Source organism: Homo sapiens, chromosome 1 (assembly GCF_000001405.40).
Source record: "Homo sapiens chromosome 1, GRCh38.p14 Primary Assembly".
Classification (NCBI taxonomy): Eukaryota; Metazoa; Chordata; class Mammalia; order Primates; family Hominidae; genus Homo; species Homo sapiens.
In genome coordinates this window covers 172,043,454-172,060,842 of record NC_000001.11, presented here as the reverse complement: position 1 = coordinate 172,060,842, position 17,389 = coordinate 172,043,454, and the positions used below count along the sequence as shown (strand labels likewise).

Here is a 17,389-nt window from a genome sequence, read left to right as displayed (position 1 = left end):
GTCAATTTTGGCTTTTGTTGCCATTGCTTTTGGTGTTTTAGACATGAAGTCCTTGCCCATGCCTATGTCCTGAATGGTAATGCCTAGGTTTTCTTCTAGGGTTTTTATGGTTTTAGGTCTAACATTTAAGTCTTTAATCCATCTTGAATTGATTTTTGTATAAGGTGTAAGGAAGGGATCCAGTTTCAGCTTTCTACATATGGCTAGCCAATTTTCCCAGCACCATTTATTAAATAGGGAATCCTTTCCCCATTGCTTGTTTTTCTCAGGTTTGTCAAAGATCAGATAGTTGTAGATATGCGGCGTTATTTCTGAGGGCTCTGTTCTGTTCCATTGATCTATATCTCTGTTTTGGTACCAGTACCATGCTGTTTTGGTTACTGTAGCCTTGTAGTATAGTTTGAAGTCAGGTAGTGTGATGCCTCCAGCTTTGTTCTTTTGGCTTAGGATTGACTTGGTGATGCGGGCTCTTTTTTGGTTCCATATGAACTTTAAAGTAGTTTTTTCCAATTCTGTGAAAAAAGGCATTGGTAGCTTGATGGGGATGGCATTGAATCTGTGAATTACCTTGGGCAGTATGGCCATTTTCACGATATTGATTCTTCCTACCCATGAGCATGGAATGTCCTTCCATTTGTTTGTATCCTCTTTTATTTCCTTGAGCAGTGGTTTGTAGTTCTCCTTGAAGAGGTCCTTCACATCCCTTGTAAGTTGGATTCCTAGGTATTTTATTCTCTTTGAAGCAATTGTGAATGGGAGTTCACTCATGATTTAGCTCTCTGTTTGTCGATTGTTGGTATATAAGAATGCTTGTGATTTCTGTACATTGATTTTGTATCCTGAGACTTTGCTGAAGTTGCTTATCAGCTTAAGGAGATTTTGGGCTGAGACAATGGGGTTTTCTAGATATACAATCATGTCGTCTGCAAACAGGGACAATTTGACTTCCTCTTTTCCTAACTGAATACCCTTTATTTCCTTCTCCTGCCTAATTGCCCTGGCCAGAACTTCCAACACTATGTTGAATAGGAGTGGTGAGAGAGGGCATCCCTGTCTTGTGACAGTTTTCAAAGGGAATGCTTCCAGTTTTTGCCCATTCAGTACGATATTGGCTGTGGGTTTGTCATAGATAGCTCTTATTATTTTGAAATACGTCCCATCAATACCTAATTTATTGAGAGTTTTTAGCATGAAGGGTTGTTGAATTTTGTCAAAGGCTTTTTCTGCATCTATTGAGATAATCATGTGGTTTTTGTCTTTGGTTCTGTTTATATGCTGGATTACATTTATTGATTTGCATATATTGAACCAGCCTTGCATCCCAGGGATGAAGCCCACTTGATCATGGTGGATAAGCTTTTTGATGTGCTGCTGGATTCAGTTTGCCAGTATTTTATTGAGGATTTTTGCATCAATGTTCATCAAGGATATTGGTCTAAAATTCTCTTTTTTGGTTGTGTCTCTGCCAGGCTTTGGTATCAGAATGATGCTGGCCTCATAAAATGAGTTAGGGAGGATTCCCTCTTTTTCTATTGATTGGAATAGTTTCAGAAGGAATGGTACCAGTTCCTCCTTGTACCTCTGGTAGAATTCGGCTGTGAATCCATCTGGTCCTGGACTCTTTTTGGTTGGTAAGCTATTGATTATTGCCACAATTTCAGAGCCTGTTATTGGTCTATTCAGAGATTCAACTTCTTCCTGGTTTAGTCTTGGGAGAGTGTATGTGTCAAGGAATTTATCCATTTCTTCTAGATTTTCTAGTTTATTTGCGTAGAGGTGTTTGTAGTATTCTCTGATGGTAGTTTTTATTTCTGTGTGATCTGTGGTGATATCCCCTTTATCATTTTTTATTGCGTCTATTTGATTCTTCTTTCTTTTCTCCTTTATTAGTCTTGCTAGCAGTCTATCAATTTTGTTGATCCTTTCAAAAAACCAGCTCCTGGATTCATTAATTTTTTAAGGGTTTTTTTTGTCTCTATTTCCTTCAGTTCTGCTATGATTTTAGTTATTTCTTGCCTTCTGCTAGCTTTTGAATGTGTTTGCTCTTGCTTTTCTAGTTCTTTTAATTGTGATGTTAGGGTGTCAATTTTGGATCTTTCCTGCTTTCTCTTGTGGGCATTTAGTGCTATAAATTTCCCTCTACACACTGCTTTAAATGCATCCCAGAGATTCTGGTATGTTGTGTCTTTGTCCTCCTTGGTTTCAAAGAACATCTTTATTTCTGCCTTCATTTCGTTATGTACCCAGTAGTCATTCAAGAGCAGGTTGTTCAGTTTCCATGTAGTTGAGGGGTTTTCAGTGAGATTCTTAATCCTGAGTTCTAATTTGATTGCACTGTGGTCTGAGAGATAGTTTGTTATAATTTCTGTTCTTTTACATTTGCTGAGGAGAGCTTTACTTCCAACTATGTGGTCAATTTTGGAATAGGTGTGGTGTGGTGCTGAAAAAAATGTATATTCTGTTGATTTGGGGTGGAGAGTTCTGTAGATGTCTATTAGGTCCACTTGGTGCAGAGCTGAGTTCAATTCCTGGGTATCCTTGTTGAGTTTCTGTCTCGTTGATCTGTCTAATGTTGACAGTGGGGTGTTAAAGTCTCCCATTATTAACGTGTGGGAGTCTAAGTCTCCTTGCAGGTCACTCAGGACTTGCTTTATGAATCTGGGTGCTCCTGTATTGGGTGCATATATATTTAAGATAGTTAGCTCTTCTTGTTGAGTTGATCCCTTTACCATTATGTAATGGCCTTCTTTGTCTCTTTTGATCTTTGTTGGTTTAAAGTCTGTTTTATCAGAGACTAGGATTGCAACCCCTGCCTTTTTTTGTTTTCCATTTGCTTGGTAGATCTTCCTCCATCCTTTCATGTTGAGCCTATGTGTGTCTCTGCACATGAGATGGGTTTCCTGAATACAGCACACTGATGGGTCTTGACTCTTTATCCAACTTGCCAGTCTGTGTCTTTTAATTGGAGCATTTAGTCCATTTACATTTAAAGTTAATATTTTTATGTGTGAATTTGATCCTGTCATTATGATGATAGCTGGTTATTTTGCTCGTTAGTTGATGCAGTTTCTTCCCAGTCTTGATGGTCTTTACATTTTGGCATGATTTTGCAGCGGCTGGTACCGGTTGTTCCTTTCCATGTTTAGTGCTTCCTTCAGGAGCTCTTTTAGGGCAGGCCTGGTGGTGACAAAATCTCTCAGCATTTGCTTGTCTGTAAAGTATTTTATTTCTCCTTCATTTATGAAGCTTAGTTTGGCTGGATATGAAATTCTGGGTTGAAAATTATTTTCTTCAAGAATGTTGAATATTGGCCCCCACTCTCTTCTGGCTTGTAGAGTTTCTGCTGAGAGATCCGCTGTTAGTCTGATGGGCTTCCCTTTGAGGGTAACTCGACCTTTCTCTCTGGCTGCCCTTAACATTTTTTCCTTCATTTCAACTTTGGTGAATCTGACAATTATGTGTCTTGGAGTTGCTCTTCTCGAGGAGTATCTTTGTGGCATTCTCTGTATTTCCTGAATCTGAGCGTTGGCCTGCCTTGCTAGATTGGGGAAGTTCTCCTGGATAATATCTTGCAGAGTGTTTTCCAACTTGGTTCCATTCTCCCCGTCACTTTCAGGTACACCAGTCAGATGTAGATTTGGTCTTTTCACATAGTCCCATATTTCTTGGAGGCTTTGCTCGTTTCTTTTTATTCTTTTTTCTCTAAACTTCCCTTCTCGCTTCATTTCATTCACTTCATCTTCCATTGCTGATACCCTTTCTTCCAGTTGATCACATCGGCTCCTGAGGCTTCTGAATTCTTCACGTAGTTCTCGAGCCTTGGTTTTCAGCTCCATCAGCTCCTTTAAGCACTTCTCTGTATTGGTTATTCTAGTTATACATTCGTCTAAATTTTTTTCAAAGTTTTCAACTTCTTTGCCTTTGGTTTGAATGTCCTCCCGTAGCTCAGAGTAATTTGATCATCTGAAGCCTTCTTCTCTCAGCTCGTCAAAGTCGTTCTCCGTCCAGCTTTGTTCCTTTGCTGGTGAGGAACTGTGTTCCTTTGGAGGAGGAGAGGCACTCTGCTTTTTTAGAGTTTCCAGTTTTTCTGTTCTGTTTTTTCCCCATCTTTGTGGTTTTATCTACTTTTGGTCTTTGATGATGGTGATGTACAGATGGGTTTTTGGTGTGGATGTCCTTTCTGTTTGTTAGTTTTCCTTCTAACAGACAGGACCCTCAGCTGCAGGTCTGTTGGAGTACCCTGCCGTGTGAGGTGTCAGTGTGCCCCTGCTTGGGGGTGCCTCCCAGTTAGGCTGCTCGGGGGTCAGGGGTCAGGGACCCACTTGAGGAGGCAGTCTGCCCGTTCTCAGATCTCCAGCTGCGTACTGGAAGAACCACTGCTCTCTTCAAAGCTGTCAGACAGGGACATTTAAGTCTGCAGAGGTTACTGCTGTCTTTTTCTTTGTCTGTGCCCTGCCCCCAGAGGTGGAGCCTACAGAGGCAGGCAGGCCTCCTTGAGCTGTGGTGGGCTCCACCCAGTTCGAGCTTCCCTGCTGCTTTGTTTACCTAAGCAAGCCTGGGCAATGTCGGGTGCCCCTCCCCCAGCCTCGCTGCCACCTTGCAGTTTGATCTCAGACTGCTGTGCTAGCAATCAGCGAGATTCCGTGGGCGTAGGACCCTCTGAGCCAGGTGCGGGATATAATCTCGTGGTGTGCCCTTTTTTAAGCCTGTCGGAAAAGCACAGTATTCAGGTGGGAGTGACCCGATTTTCCAGGTGCCGTCCGTCACCCCTTTCTTTGACTAGGAAAGGGAACTCCCTGACCCCTTGCACTTCCGGAGTGAGGCAATGCTTCACCCTGCTTCGGCTCGTGCACGGTGCACGCACCCACTGACCTGCGCCCACTGTCTGGCACTCCCTAGTGAGATGAACCCGGTACCTCAGATGGAAATGCAGAAATCACCAGTCTTCTGCGTCGCTCATGCTGGGAGCTGTAGACCGAAGCTGTTCCTATTTGGCCATCTTGGCTCCTCCCCGAAATGCAAGTATTTTCATACAGTGTAAAAACCATAGCACATCTATATAAACCTAAAAGAAAGTCCTAAATAGTATGATGCTTTGAAGCCATTTTCCTTCATCCTACTTCAGCCAAACTGACCGTCACCTGCTGAATCAATGAGACATAATTCATTTTTTAAATTATTCATTCAATAATCATTGTTGAAAACCAGGCTGTTTTAGGGGTGGAAAATAGAGCGATGAGCTTAATAAGCCAAGTTCTTATTCTCATGGAACTTGTATTCTCAAGGTCCCTTAATTATCTTATAACACAGCAACAGCAGACATAAATAATATAATTAATATATTAATAGTAATATATACTGCAAAGAAAAAGTTTGGTAAGTAGATTAACGATGGTGTGCATGTGTGGTGTGTGTGTGTGTGTGTATTTGTGGGAAGGCTATGCAACTGAAAATAGAAAAGTCGGAGAAAGACTCTGCTTTATGGGGCATTTGAATAGCAGAGGCCTGAAAGAAGCAATGGTTTGATCCATGCAGATATCTTGGGGCAGATCATTTCCCACATTAAGAATGAGAAGTGCAAAGGCTCTACAGACATGTTTCCTTGGCCTGCTAAATAAACAAGGAATCCAGTGCAGCTGGAGTGGACCAAGAGGAGGAGAGAAAGGGGAGAAGATGAGTTTAGAGATGAAAAGCAGGGGGCAAGATTGTCTAGGGCCTTGTAAGCCATGGTAAGGACTTGGATTCACTTGTTTAGTTATGTGTATTCAGAGCTAGATATTTACTTACCTAATAAGCCACAAAATTTGGCATTTCTTCTAACAGCACTTCTTAATGGAAAATCTTTCCCTGTATTTCTTTTTCTTTATTTGGGGGGGCGGGGGGGAAATGGAGTCTCGCTGTTGTTGCCTGGGCTGGAGTGCAATAGTGCAATCTCGGCTCACTGCAACCGCCGCTTCCCAGGTTCCAGCAATTCTCCTGCCTCAGCCTCCTGAGTAGCTGAGATTATAGGCACCCCCCACCATGATTGGCTAAGTTTTGTATTTTTAGTAGAGATGGGGTTTTACCATGTTGGCCAGGGTGGTCTCGAACTCCTGATCTCAGGTGATCCATCCGCCTCGGCCTCCCAAAGTGATGGGATTACAGGCATGAGCCACCTCGCCTGGCCCTTTCCCTGTATTTCTAATAGCTGACTAAGGTATTTTTTTTCTCCTTGCAAAACTTTTTTTTTCTAAACAAGAAAAAAATCAATTAATTAGTATAATAATGATCCAAGAATGTCGGTTCCCAAGAGGCCAGTAAATGGCACAGTTGCTAAACTGTGGTTAAAAAAAAAATCAAGATGTTCCTCTCAGTGCTTTCTGAAAAGACCTTCAGCACCCTGTGATGATGCACTGGTGAAGAGGAGGTAAAGGAAAGCAGCTGAAAAGAGATGCCCACCAAAATAATTTCAAAGTTGAGATGTCCCTGGCATGAAGCCAAATAGCTCATAAAGCTCTAATGTTCCTGTCTTATCCTCCAGTGCCCCAGAGACAACAGTGAGAAAGTATCTGGGAAGAAATGCATTTCCCCAGGTTAGGAGTCTAGCTTTGTGTTTTGTTGTTTGAACACACATAAATCACATATGTTTTTCACTGGTGTTTATTTATGCAGCTTAAGAAAAAAGCATTTAAGGTTTTTACACATGAGGCATCACATGAGGAGTTGTAAATGAAAACTGTATTTTATGTTTATATATGTATATATGCTATAACAGAAATATATATATAATTACAATATAGCTGGAATTACTTATTTTCACATTGCCTGAGGCAGTCTTTGTTTACTCCTATTACTCCAGTGAAAGTATTCATAGCACTCCCTTTAAGTCTCAAAAATGTCCTGCACTGAACAATAAATTATATAGTCACCTTATCTATGGCTCATGTTCAAAACGAGGCAAGTAATAAAGTCCCAGCAGACTCAACTCTAATTAGGATTATTTTGCTTTGCAAAATATTTTAATTAGACCAGTTTTTAAATAAAAGATATTGAAAGTATACCTAATAAGGCCAAAAATGAAAAACATCAAAATGCAGCATAAGGAAAAGGATAGATGTTTGAAAGAAAACCTGCCTAAATTTTATCATTTTAAAAGGAATGGCTAAAATACTATTTTAAAACCAAGTATATATATTTTTGACCACTGGATAACTTTAGAACATCTAAATTGTTAGTAAATATTTATAAAATGCCCCTATGTGGAGTTGGTCACTGTGTTACAGGCTAGAGAGAAGATAAAAAACACAGCGCCTTTTTTTTCAAAGGAGCTTACAATCAACAAGAGGAGATATGTAAACAAATACATACAAATAAATCTCAAGGCAGTATCATAAATGCTATGATATAAATACACATAGGGTATCAACAGAAGCACTAAAAAGGGAGTTGGGAGAGAGACCAGGAAGTGACTCACAGAGGCCCTTTAGGAAGATTTTAAGGAAAATAGGATGATTGAGCTGCCTCCCTAAAAATGAGAGGGGATGGCAGGTAAACACAGGAGGGAAAGTGAGACATTCTAGACAAAAGGAATCACTTATGCAAATGTCAAAAGAAGGAAAAATCTTTGAGGATAGTGCAAATCATCTAGAATGGCTGAAGCAAGCAGTGGGACCAAAGATATAGCTGGAGAAGTATTCAGAGATCAGACAGGGAACCTAAATACAACCCTAAATGATCTGAACTTTATTTTCAAGGCTCTGAGGAGTCGTTGAATAATTTTGAGGATATAGGCAAAAGGCATAGCTGTATTTTAGAAAAATCACTTTGACAGCAATGGCAAAGATGAATTTGAGGGTGACCAGGCTAGAAATAGATCAGTTAGGGGGCCACTGGAATAATTCAGGCTTAAAAGTAATGTTCAGGGCCTTAAGTAAGAAAAGAGAATAGTTGCAGTAGTCTGTAGACAGTTTCCATAAAGAGGCTTGAGCTAGAGGTACAGATTTGGGAATCACCAATATTTTAAGTGGTAGTTGAACTATTACAGACATGATCTGTCAAGGAGAAAATATAGTAAGAAGAGAATAAAACCAGGAGTAAGCTCTGTGGGATCGCAGTGTTTAGAGGCAAGCAAAAATGGATGAATGCTCAAAGGAGGTAGAGAAGGAATAAAGAGAAAGAGGGAAGAGAACCCATGAGAGAGGAGTGCCAGCTTTATAAAGAGAGTGGAATATAGTCTCAGGAATAAGAGCGTCCTTTAGGCTTGGCAATCAGGACTCTCACTGATCTTTGCAATAATTAACTCTATAGAGTAGTGGGGTAGAATCCAAATTTCAGTTGAGGAATTAACTGGAGATGACACAGTAAAGATGCAAAGCATAAACTACTTTTTTCCCAAGAAGGCTGACCATGAGAGGAGAAAAATAGGGCAGCAGGTGAGTGTTTGTCACTGTTTCTTTTTAAATTAGGACAGACATAGATATATTTATATGTTGATTTTTTAAAATGTGATGGAGAAGATGATGATTCAGGAAATAAAAGGCTAAAAAGAGTACATCCTCTAAGGAGGTGAGAGTACAGATAGGAAACCACCCCCCACCCCCTTGATCAGGAATACTATCTCAACAGAGACAAGGATAAGAAGGGGGTGTGGCTGTGAATACAGGTAAGTTTGAGGGATAGAAGGCAAGAATCAATGTTTCATAGTGCCCATTTATGGCCCCTATTTTTTCTGCGAAACCTTCATTGAAAGTGAGGATGAAAGTGATGAGTCAGGTCGCTTGAAGAGAGTGCTAAAAGTTTAACATCATTATCATGGAGAACACAGGAGGCTGCTAATTACTAAGACACTGAAGCACTATGGGGCAGCAGTTGAAATTGGACTAAGAAGAAGACCATGAATATATTGGGGCACCAGTTCACACAAATAGACAATTATCTCCAAGCTCTTCAGAAGCCTGGGGGAAAGGAAAATAAAGATAAGCAGTAAATTTTAGCAGTCCTGGAGTTTCAACAGGTGGCAAAGTTAATCCAAGTGGAACTGAAGTAATAGATAAAAAAACTAATGATGGATGTACATCTGCTCACCCATACACCTTGTGGGCTCTAAGGTTTAATGCTGGAAGGGGAAATAACAGGAGGCTCCCACTTTAGCAGCAAGGCCCAGACACATTTTCCAACCTAGATCTGTCAGCAGTGAAGTGGACACTAAATTTCAAACCTTCAAAATAGAGCTTTTCCATTAATTTCCCAATTGGCTTAAAATCTAAAGAGGATGAAGGGGGTGATCAGCATTCTGCAGGCCCTTTAAGGTTTACAATTTCCTAGTAAAACATTTTTTGATGACAACAAGAGCCAGAAGTCATGAAACTATGATGCTAGAGTGGACTGAATGGAGAGCAAAGATTTCAAAGAAAAGTAGCTTTTAGGCATTGGACATGATATCTACATGGACACTGAACACTTCCACGTTGAAGGTGAATTGGGTATGGAGAGGAAAAATGTAAGCCAGGTTCTAAAGATCCTGATGAATGCAAGGGAGTGACCTGGAACTTGGTGGTGACAGTGAATATAAGGAACAGGTACAGCTGGCACCACCTGGGCCTTAATGGAAGACTATGAGAAGGTGAAGGAATAATCTTTGGAAGCCACAAAAGGAAAAATGGCAAATGTCATACCCAATAAAGGCCCTCAGATTTTTCCAGTTTAGGCTGGAATAAATATCCTTCACTGAAGAAAGCTAAAGGGTAAATAGTAACCTCAGGGGAAAAGCTAGATTTTGTGTTTAACTAAGGCAAACTATAAAATGTTTTGAGAAGATAGTAAAAATGTATAGAAGACCAATCCAAGGAGCATAATGGAAAGGGTAGAGAGCAAGAATAGAAGCCAAAAAGTGTCTGGGAACAAGCTGTCTCATCCCATGCCATCAGAACTGACTGTTGGCTTTCCAGTAGGTTGGATAAAATGGGAAATGATAAAAAAAAAAGATTCATGCATACCATAAACACTTTATATAACTTAAAACATAAATGTCCACACATGTGCCAATCTTTTGATGTAAGGCCAAGATCTGTTCTCTGCATATGGATCTGCTGATTGGAGTTATGCATCTTCTGTCTTACATAAACCACATCCTTCATCTATGATTTCCAGTTTTGCTTTCTTTACAGTGGAGGGAGAACATGAAGATACTTGTGAAATAATTTGAATGCCAAACCTATCCAGATTTTTATAATCCCTCACACACACACATTCTTTTCATTACCTTGCCTACACCTAGTCAATAGCAGAGCTTTTGTAGCTAACAGTTATCAAGTCTTTTCATAGCATTCAGTTTAGTTTTCATAGAAACAAAACTCAAAGTCTTTTCTGCATTGGGTCAGTTTAATTACTCTCTTTATTTAAAGTATATTATTAAAATAAGTGCAACTGGCTAAATGGGTTTGGGAACAGACACAGCACAACTGTCCCTTGTAAAGAAGACAGGATAATTGGTGGGAGTAAGAGACATGGACAACCTAAAGAGAAGCCTCTGGCTAAACACATCTGTGTGCTGAGAGTGGCAATCCTTAGGGTTAGTAGGAAACTCAGTATCAGTTAATCTTGAAAGTCAGTAGAGAGATCAATTAAGAGAGCTTTAAATGTACAAGGGACACGATAGGTTGCATTCTGAAGAGTAGGTGAGGGCAGCAGGGATGAGGAGTGTTAGCAACTGACTTGAAGTTTCCAACTGGTGAGATGGTAGAAAGATTGATTTTTTTCAACTCCATGGGCATTCTTCTTTCTGTCCCTCAGTCCCTTAACTCCTGTGGCTCTTTCTTGTTTTGGAGAAGAGAAACCAGGAGTTTAGGAAATGAGGTGGAAGAGCAGTAGGAGCTCTAGAGAAGGGGTCTGAACCTCCCAGTCACCTCTGGGTCCTAAGCTAGTTCCATTTACTGCTTTTCTTTTAGCCTTCACATCTAGGAATTCAGCCCATTTGCCTCTTCTACTATGTACATCTGTTCTTTACCTGAGCCTTTCTGTCAGGTAACTGGGAACTAATATTCATATTCATTCTCATTCTCTGTCCCTCTCATTCTCTCTCTTTCTTCCCACTGGTTTTTCAGAAAGGTAACTGCTAGTAACCATCTATAAAGGGAAGGATAACAAAACTAACAAAAACAGAATTATCCATAGGTTGAAGAAATATTAAAAGCACAAGTGTTAACTGTCAGGGGGCTAGACCTACCCTACTGTAAATACCATCACTAATTCTCTTTTTGTGTTTTTCAATACAAGATATTCTTTTCATGAACCGAGGAATTCAGCACATGTTCTCCATATTCCTCAGTGAGGAGTCCTCCTACTTGGGAAGTCTTGCCCCAGCACTCTACAGCATAGATTTAATAGATATTCAGGGTAGAGAATACTGACTGCTGCTAAAATGGCAATTTATGGATCAGCCACCATTTATTGAGCACTTAAATTATGGTTAATCAGTGTGCTAGGTGTCCCATAGGTTTCAGGCATCATCTTGTTTAATCCTCACTAAGGTGGTATTACTATTATCATCATCATCCTCATTTCACAGATAAATTAACAAGACTAGAGAGGTTAAGCCCAAGGTCACACAGAAAGTATCAGAGCCAGGATTTCAATCTAGGTCATTGAAACCCCAAGGCTGGGTTCTTATCCACTACACTACACTGCCCCTTCCCAGAACAGCCAGACTCAAGTGGAATACATATTTGCAATTTAGAAGAATTTTCTTATTGATATATGTACTATCAGTGATTTCCTTCTCTAACAATTACCCTCATCCATGCACCACAGGAAAAATGAGCTTAGGGCATTTGCCTAATAGTTTGGAAATAATGTTTATTTGTTTAAGACAACATGGGGAAAATCAGCCAAAGAAATATACTCTTTCTAAACCACCGTATTAGGAATGATAGAAGACAGTATGTCTGCCCTTCATGAAAGCAATTCCCACTCAGTACTTTCCACAACCATTCCCTGTAGGCAAACACACAACATCTATAACAAAGTGAGGGTCAGGGAAAGAGAATCATGCAATGAGATAGGGAATGTTGATAAACCAAAGCCACGTACTGGAAAGTTAAATAATTCGAACTTACTTTTTTGGTACACTTCTTCACAGTGTTGATTAATTCTTGTATTACCAGATCCACACTCTTCAAGGAAGGCCCTTTCAACTTTACAATCTGTTTCTTGACTATCGCTTCAAATGCCATGTCTGGAGTAAACAACCCTGTCCTGAAGGTAAGAAAGCAAGCAGCCCATGAGATTTTTTTAATTGAGTAATATTCAAAAATCTTTTGAAAAATGTTTAAATTAACATTCCATTTAAATTAAGCATGTAATAGACCAAGTTTAAAAGTTACATAGTGCCCAAAATGTTTATGTGGCACATCATGTGACCTTTAACTAATATTTAACTGTAATTTGTCTTAACTTGCTGTTTCGCAGCAATAAAAAGAAATGCTACAATAGAAATGGTGTTCTCAATTTAGATTCCTATTTCTGAAAGATTCCAAAATCAATTCCTTGCCCTTTGTGGAGCAGCGAGTGAGCTTCACTTTTTATACACTAAAATAGTAGAGTTTCTAGATTATACAATTTATCCATTCCAGGACAACTATATTACAGATAGTTCCCAATCTGAGGGCCTGGGGTACTGGGAGTATAAGACAGTAAGGGGAGTTATGAATTAATTTTAATATTTCAAGATGCCTAAATAATGAATTTATAAAAATAACAAATGATAACCAAAATAACAAGTGTCTTCCTTTGGGCTCTAATTAATTCAAACTGGTGTTATAATAATGCTTTTCTCATGCTGAACAGGAGCTCAGGAAAGCAGATATATACATGTGCATGTGTATATGTGATTCATAAAAAATGAAAAATGATTACTCAAATTTAAACAAAAGGTCAGTAGAGAGAAGCTACAATAACAGGGGACTTTGAATCTTGGCCATGACTGAAGGCTGGCAGGCTCCAGGCTTTGGCACTGGGTCCTCCCCACTCCTAGGCCCTCTTCTCTCCCCTCCCCACCTATTCTTATTTAGTTAACTTCTCTTCCTGCAACTGAATTCTATGGTACCTCTTTTGGAAAATCTTTTCAACACTTCCCTTATACTATCTTGACTTGACGCCCCTTCTTATCATTTGCTTAGCACCCCATGCTCACCTCTATTTCTAACTGTAGTAATCATACTACATTATAATGGTAATTTCTCTGAACGAGGTACAGAATCAAATCCAAACTGTTTAGTACAATATTAAAATTTTTCCACTGTTTGACTCTAATCTTTCTTCACAGTTATTTTTCTCCTCACCTTTCACGTACCCTATGTTTCAGTCAATTTGCCTTTGCTTATATTGTATGTCTTTGCCTTTGTCTATGATGTTCATTTTACCCTGTTAACAATTTTGGCCTATTCAAATCCCACCTGTGCTTTAAAGCCCAGATGCAAAGCAAGCACTTATAGTTCCAGTCTTGCTGCTGAGACCTTCCTTCTTGGAAGCCCAGCATTCTATTTCACATTGCAGGATACACAGTAAGGAGAGTTGTTACCCTATTTATCTTGATTTGCTCCATAAGGACTGTCTCCCTCCCTTGCTCATAGTCAGCATTCAGTGTTAACAAAACAATGAAGAAAAACAAAGCATCTCTTCCATCAAGTCCTTCATGGGCAAAGAGGGCTTCTACTATTCAAATAGCCAATGGAATCAAATGGGAAAAAAAAATTGTCAAACCAAATATATATTTAAAGGCCTAAATAAGCATACCATGAGTATGTCTTATGCTCAGGACATTGTGCATTTCTTATCATCTTACAGGCATATAATAACCACCAACAATCCCCTGTTGGTAGGCATATAAATCAGAAATTGACAATTCTGAATTACTGAGATTTTGCAGTTATATTTGACAAAAGCTGTATATGGTAATGAGTTTTACAAGTGAAGTAAAAATACTGTATTTGGCTGATTTCAAATACTGTATGACCCCAAAAAATGTAATTTGGTTCCACTGCATTTATCAGATAAACATGTCCAAATACCAAATCTGCCCAGCTAAAAAGCAAAACAGTTTCTACACCAAATGTATTCTGGATTTGGTGGAGAAGAAATAGAATAGGGAGCTTAGAAATCCTATCGATGGTAAAAGAAAAAACGTTAGATTTGGTTATAGATGTTTTCTCCTCTTCACTTTGTAAACTCGTATCTGCCCATACTATTTGAGATTTGTGGAGCAGATTGTCTAAATTTTTTTTTCTCTTTTTTCTTTCTTTTTTTTATTATTATTATACTTTAAGTTTTAGGGTACATGTGCACAATGTGCAGGTTAGTTACATATGTATACATGTGCCATGCTGGTGTGCTGCACCCATTAACTCGTCATTTAGCATTAGGTATATCTCCTAATGCTATCCCTCCCCCCTACTCCCACCCAACAACAGTCCCCAGAGTGTGATGTTCCCCTTCCTGTGTCCATGTGTTCTCATTATTCAATTCCCATCTATGAGTGAGAACATGTGGTGTTTGGTTTTTTGTCCTTGAGATAGTTTACTGAGAATGATGGTTTCCAATTTCATCCATGTCCCTACAAAGGACATGAACTCATCATTTTTTATGGCTGCATAGTATTCCATGGTGTATATGTGCCACATTTTCTTAATCCAGTCTATCATTGTTGGACATTTGGGTTGGTTCCAAGTCTTTGCTATTGTGAATAGTGCTGCAATAAACATATGTGTGCATGTGTCTTTATAGCAGCGTGATTTATAGTCCTTTGGGTATATACTCAGTAATGGGATGGCTGGGTCAAATGGTATTTCTAGTTCTAGATCCCTGAGGAATCTCCACACTGACTTTCACAATGGTTGAACTAGTTTACAGTCCCACCAACAGATTGTCTAAATTTTAAAACAACAAATAACTCAAGCATCATAACTCCTTTGTAAAATCACCCATCACATGCAAACTCAGTGTCAAGCTTTGCCTTCTCAGGGCCTGTTCCCAGCACAGTCTCAACTTGGCCCTTTGGCAGAGGCTGAACCACAAATGACAACAGGCAGGGGCCACCTCCTTCGTATGAGGCAATCTATGTACTAGGCAACCTAAGTTTTATTTCCTTGAATTAAGGACACTGCAATTCAACATATGTTCATTAAGTTATGTTTAGCCTTCTGTACATGAAATGAATAAATATGTGCTTTAAAATCATTTGTTCTTATCATAGTTCTTTAAAGAAATTGTTGTGAACTGAATGTGTTCCCCTAAAACTTCATATGTTGAAACCATACCCTTCAATGTGATGGTAGTAGGAGGTAGGGCCTTTGGGAGGTAATTACATCATGAGGGCAGAACCCTCATGAATGGGATTAGTGCCCTTATAAGAAGAGGCCAGAGAGCTAACTAGCTTTCTCTCTGCCACATGAGGACAGAATAAGAAGACAGCACTGTGCAGGCCAGAAAAGGGATCTCACCAGAACCCGACCATGCTCACACCCTGACCTAGGATTTTCAAACTCCAGAACCGTGAGAAATAAATTTCTGTGGTTTATAAGCCACCCAGTCTGTAGTCATTTGTTACAGCAGTCCAAACAGACTAAGATGGAAGGTAATTTAGAATAATCTCACTTTAAACAAGGGGAAATTCAGACACAAGTTCTACCCCACCCCCAACCCCACCCAGCTCAGGTCCCTCTGCTCTCCTGACTGCATTCCTCAAGCCAGTCCCAATGCATATGCATGACTCTTGGCTCCATGGATATATACTGTGCCCGCTCACCTCTTTGCCTTTGGTCATCCCACCCCTTCCACCGGAAAGCCCTTTCTTTTATCCTCAACAACCTCCATTCCATCCTTCCATCCTCTCCTGTCTCATCACACTGCTGCCCACTTCATATGCACGCTCCCACATGTGCAAGCACACATGCACACACAACACCTCCTGGCCTGTTGAAACCATCCTCCCCACAGGAAAGGATAAACTTGAAAGTAACAACCTCCATTAATCTTTCCCAATCTTGCTCCACAACACTAGTCAAAATTAATCTGTCCCTTCTCTGGTGTAAGTAATGATTAATTATGAGCATGTCTGGCCTCCCTCATGAAAAATGAAGGCTCTGGAGAATGGGGTCTTGCTAATCTGCGAATCCCCTATTGTGCAGAGTACAGGCTGGAAATGCAGAAAATGTTTTTGCTTTTTCACTTGGAAAAAACTGACTACAGCAATACAGGAAGTTACCATTAAACCCCAAAGTAGGATTTCCTGTTTCTTACTCCCACCTCTGTATTCTACCCTATTCAATGATGAAAAGACGAGTTTCCTAGCCATTTATAAACATTAATTTTCTTTTGGTAGCTTGAACAGATGACAAGAAAAATGTGAATCACTTGCCTGATACCATGTATGTTTTTGATTGCATAGCTTATTTCTCTTCGCAATTCTTTCTCATTGAACTCCATCTGCAGATGCAAAATGAGCCATAGTTATGACACTTAATTCCTTTGAATAATATTGTTGAACATTACAGAATGAGAATAACTTGACTTCATTATTAATAAGTGGATACTCATGTCTTTCCTAACCTAAACCCAGATGGTCAAAACATCTGTTTATATAAATTTCAAGGCAACACAGAACACTAGGGATTTTGGGGAGCTTGGGGGCAGTGGATTTTAACTCTGTTATAGATATGGAGTGCTATGCATAAGGATGCCTTCTGGACATAAATCTAGCCATTCATTTGAAATGTATAATTCTTCATTCTTTTGCTGAATATGGTAAATTTGAGGGCACAGAAGAATGCATAAATGAGAGTTTCACCTGCTGTGCAGTAGCAGTACAGATGTCCTGAAATTAACAATGGCTGTCTTTTGTCCCTGGCCACTTAAATCATTTGAGTTAAAGGCCTCTTTGTAAAAGAAAATTAGTAATATTTTAAAAAGACAACACAGGATAGATTACAAATATTTCTCAGAAGCGCTAGGTACCATAAATCTATTTGGAAGTAGGACCAAAGTGTCACAGAGCTTAGACCTCGAAGGGATAGCCCAAGAACATTGAGTTCAACCCTGACCTCTGAGATTTGGCCTCTCCGGCTTCATTGTCTGTCCATTTCCTCCCCTCACAGCTTATGCCCTAGAATGACGAATTGTTCTAGGTCTCTACCCATAACTGATGGCTTCATAGCTCATTCCTCTCCTGTCTGGATCACCCCCTCCTGTAGCCTACCTCTTCCTGCTTAACTAGCTGCTCATCCTTCCAAACTCAGCTCAGAAGCCTGGCTCCCTTACACACTTGAGCTGGGATTCATGTCTGTGGGCTGTGTTTCCATAGTACCCTTTGCTGAAGTTTATCACTTTACTTAGCACATTTTTAATGAAATTATCTATT

The 17,389-nt window shown here is 39.7% G+C and overlaps 1 protein-coding gene across 26 annotated transcripts in view, besides 1 other annotated feature; it reads right to left on the bottom strand.

Annotated features, from left to right (window-relative positions):
• Positions 1–17,389, bottom strand: part of DNM3 (dynamin 3) — a 576,969-nt gene that overhangs the window by 357,624 nt on the left and 201,956 nt on the right. For 25 of the 26 annotated variants that reach the window (NR_146559.2, XM_017000979.2, NM_001350206.2 and 22 more), the window contains exons 9-10: positions 16,391–16,458; positions 12,093–12,231 (exon numbers count right to left, since the gene is read on the bottom strand). Coding sequence is in view for 25 of the 26 variants with exons in the window: in XM_017000979.2 (XP_016856468.1) it covers positions 12,093–12,231; positions 16,391–16,458 (207 nt within the window). In the remaining variant the exon portion in view is untranslated. Of the gene's footprint in view, positions 1–4,972; positions 5,066–12,092; positions 12,232–16,390; positions 16,459–17,389 lie in introns of those variants that run through there. The other variant, XM_017000992.2, reaches the window with a different exon arrangement.
• Positions 4,145–4,730: an enhancer, noted in NCBI's record as "NANOG-H3K27ac-H3K4me1 hESC enhancer chr1:172025253-172025838 (GRCh37/hg19 assembly coordinates)". NCBI's record gives its function as "activates a minimal SCP1, AML or CMV promoter by ChIP-STARR-seq in primed H9 embryonic stem cells {active_cell/tissue: H9 hESC(primed)}" and the evidence as "EXISTENCE:reporter gene assay evidence [ECO:0000049][PMID:30033119]".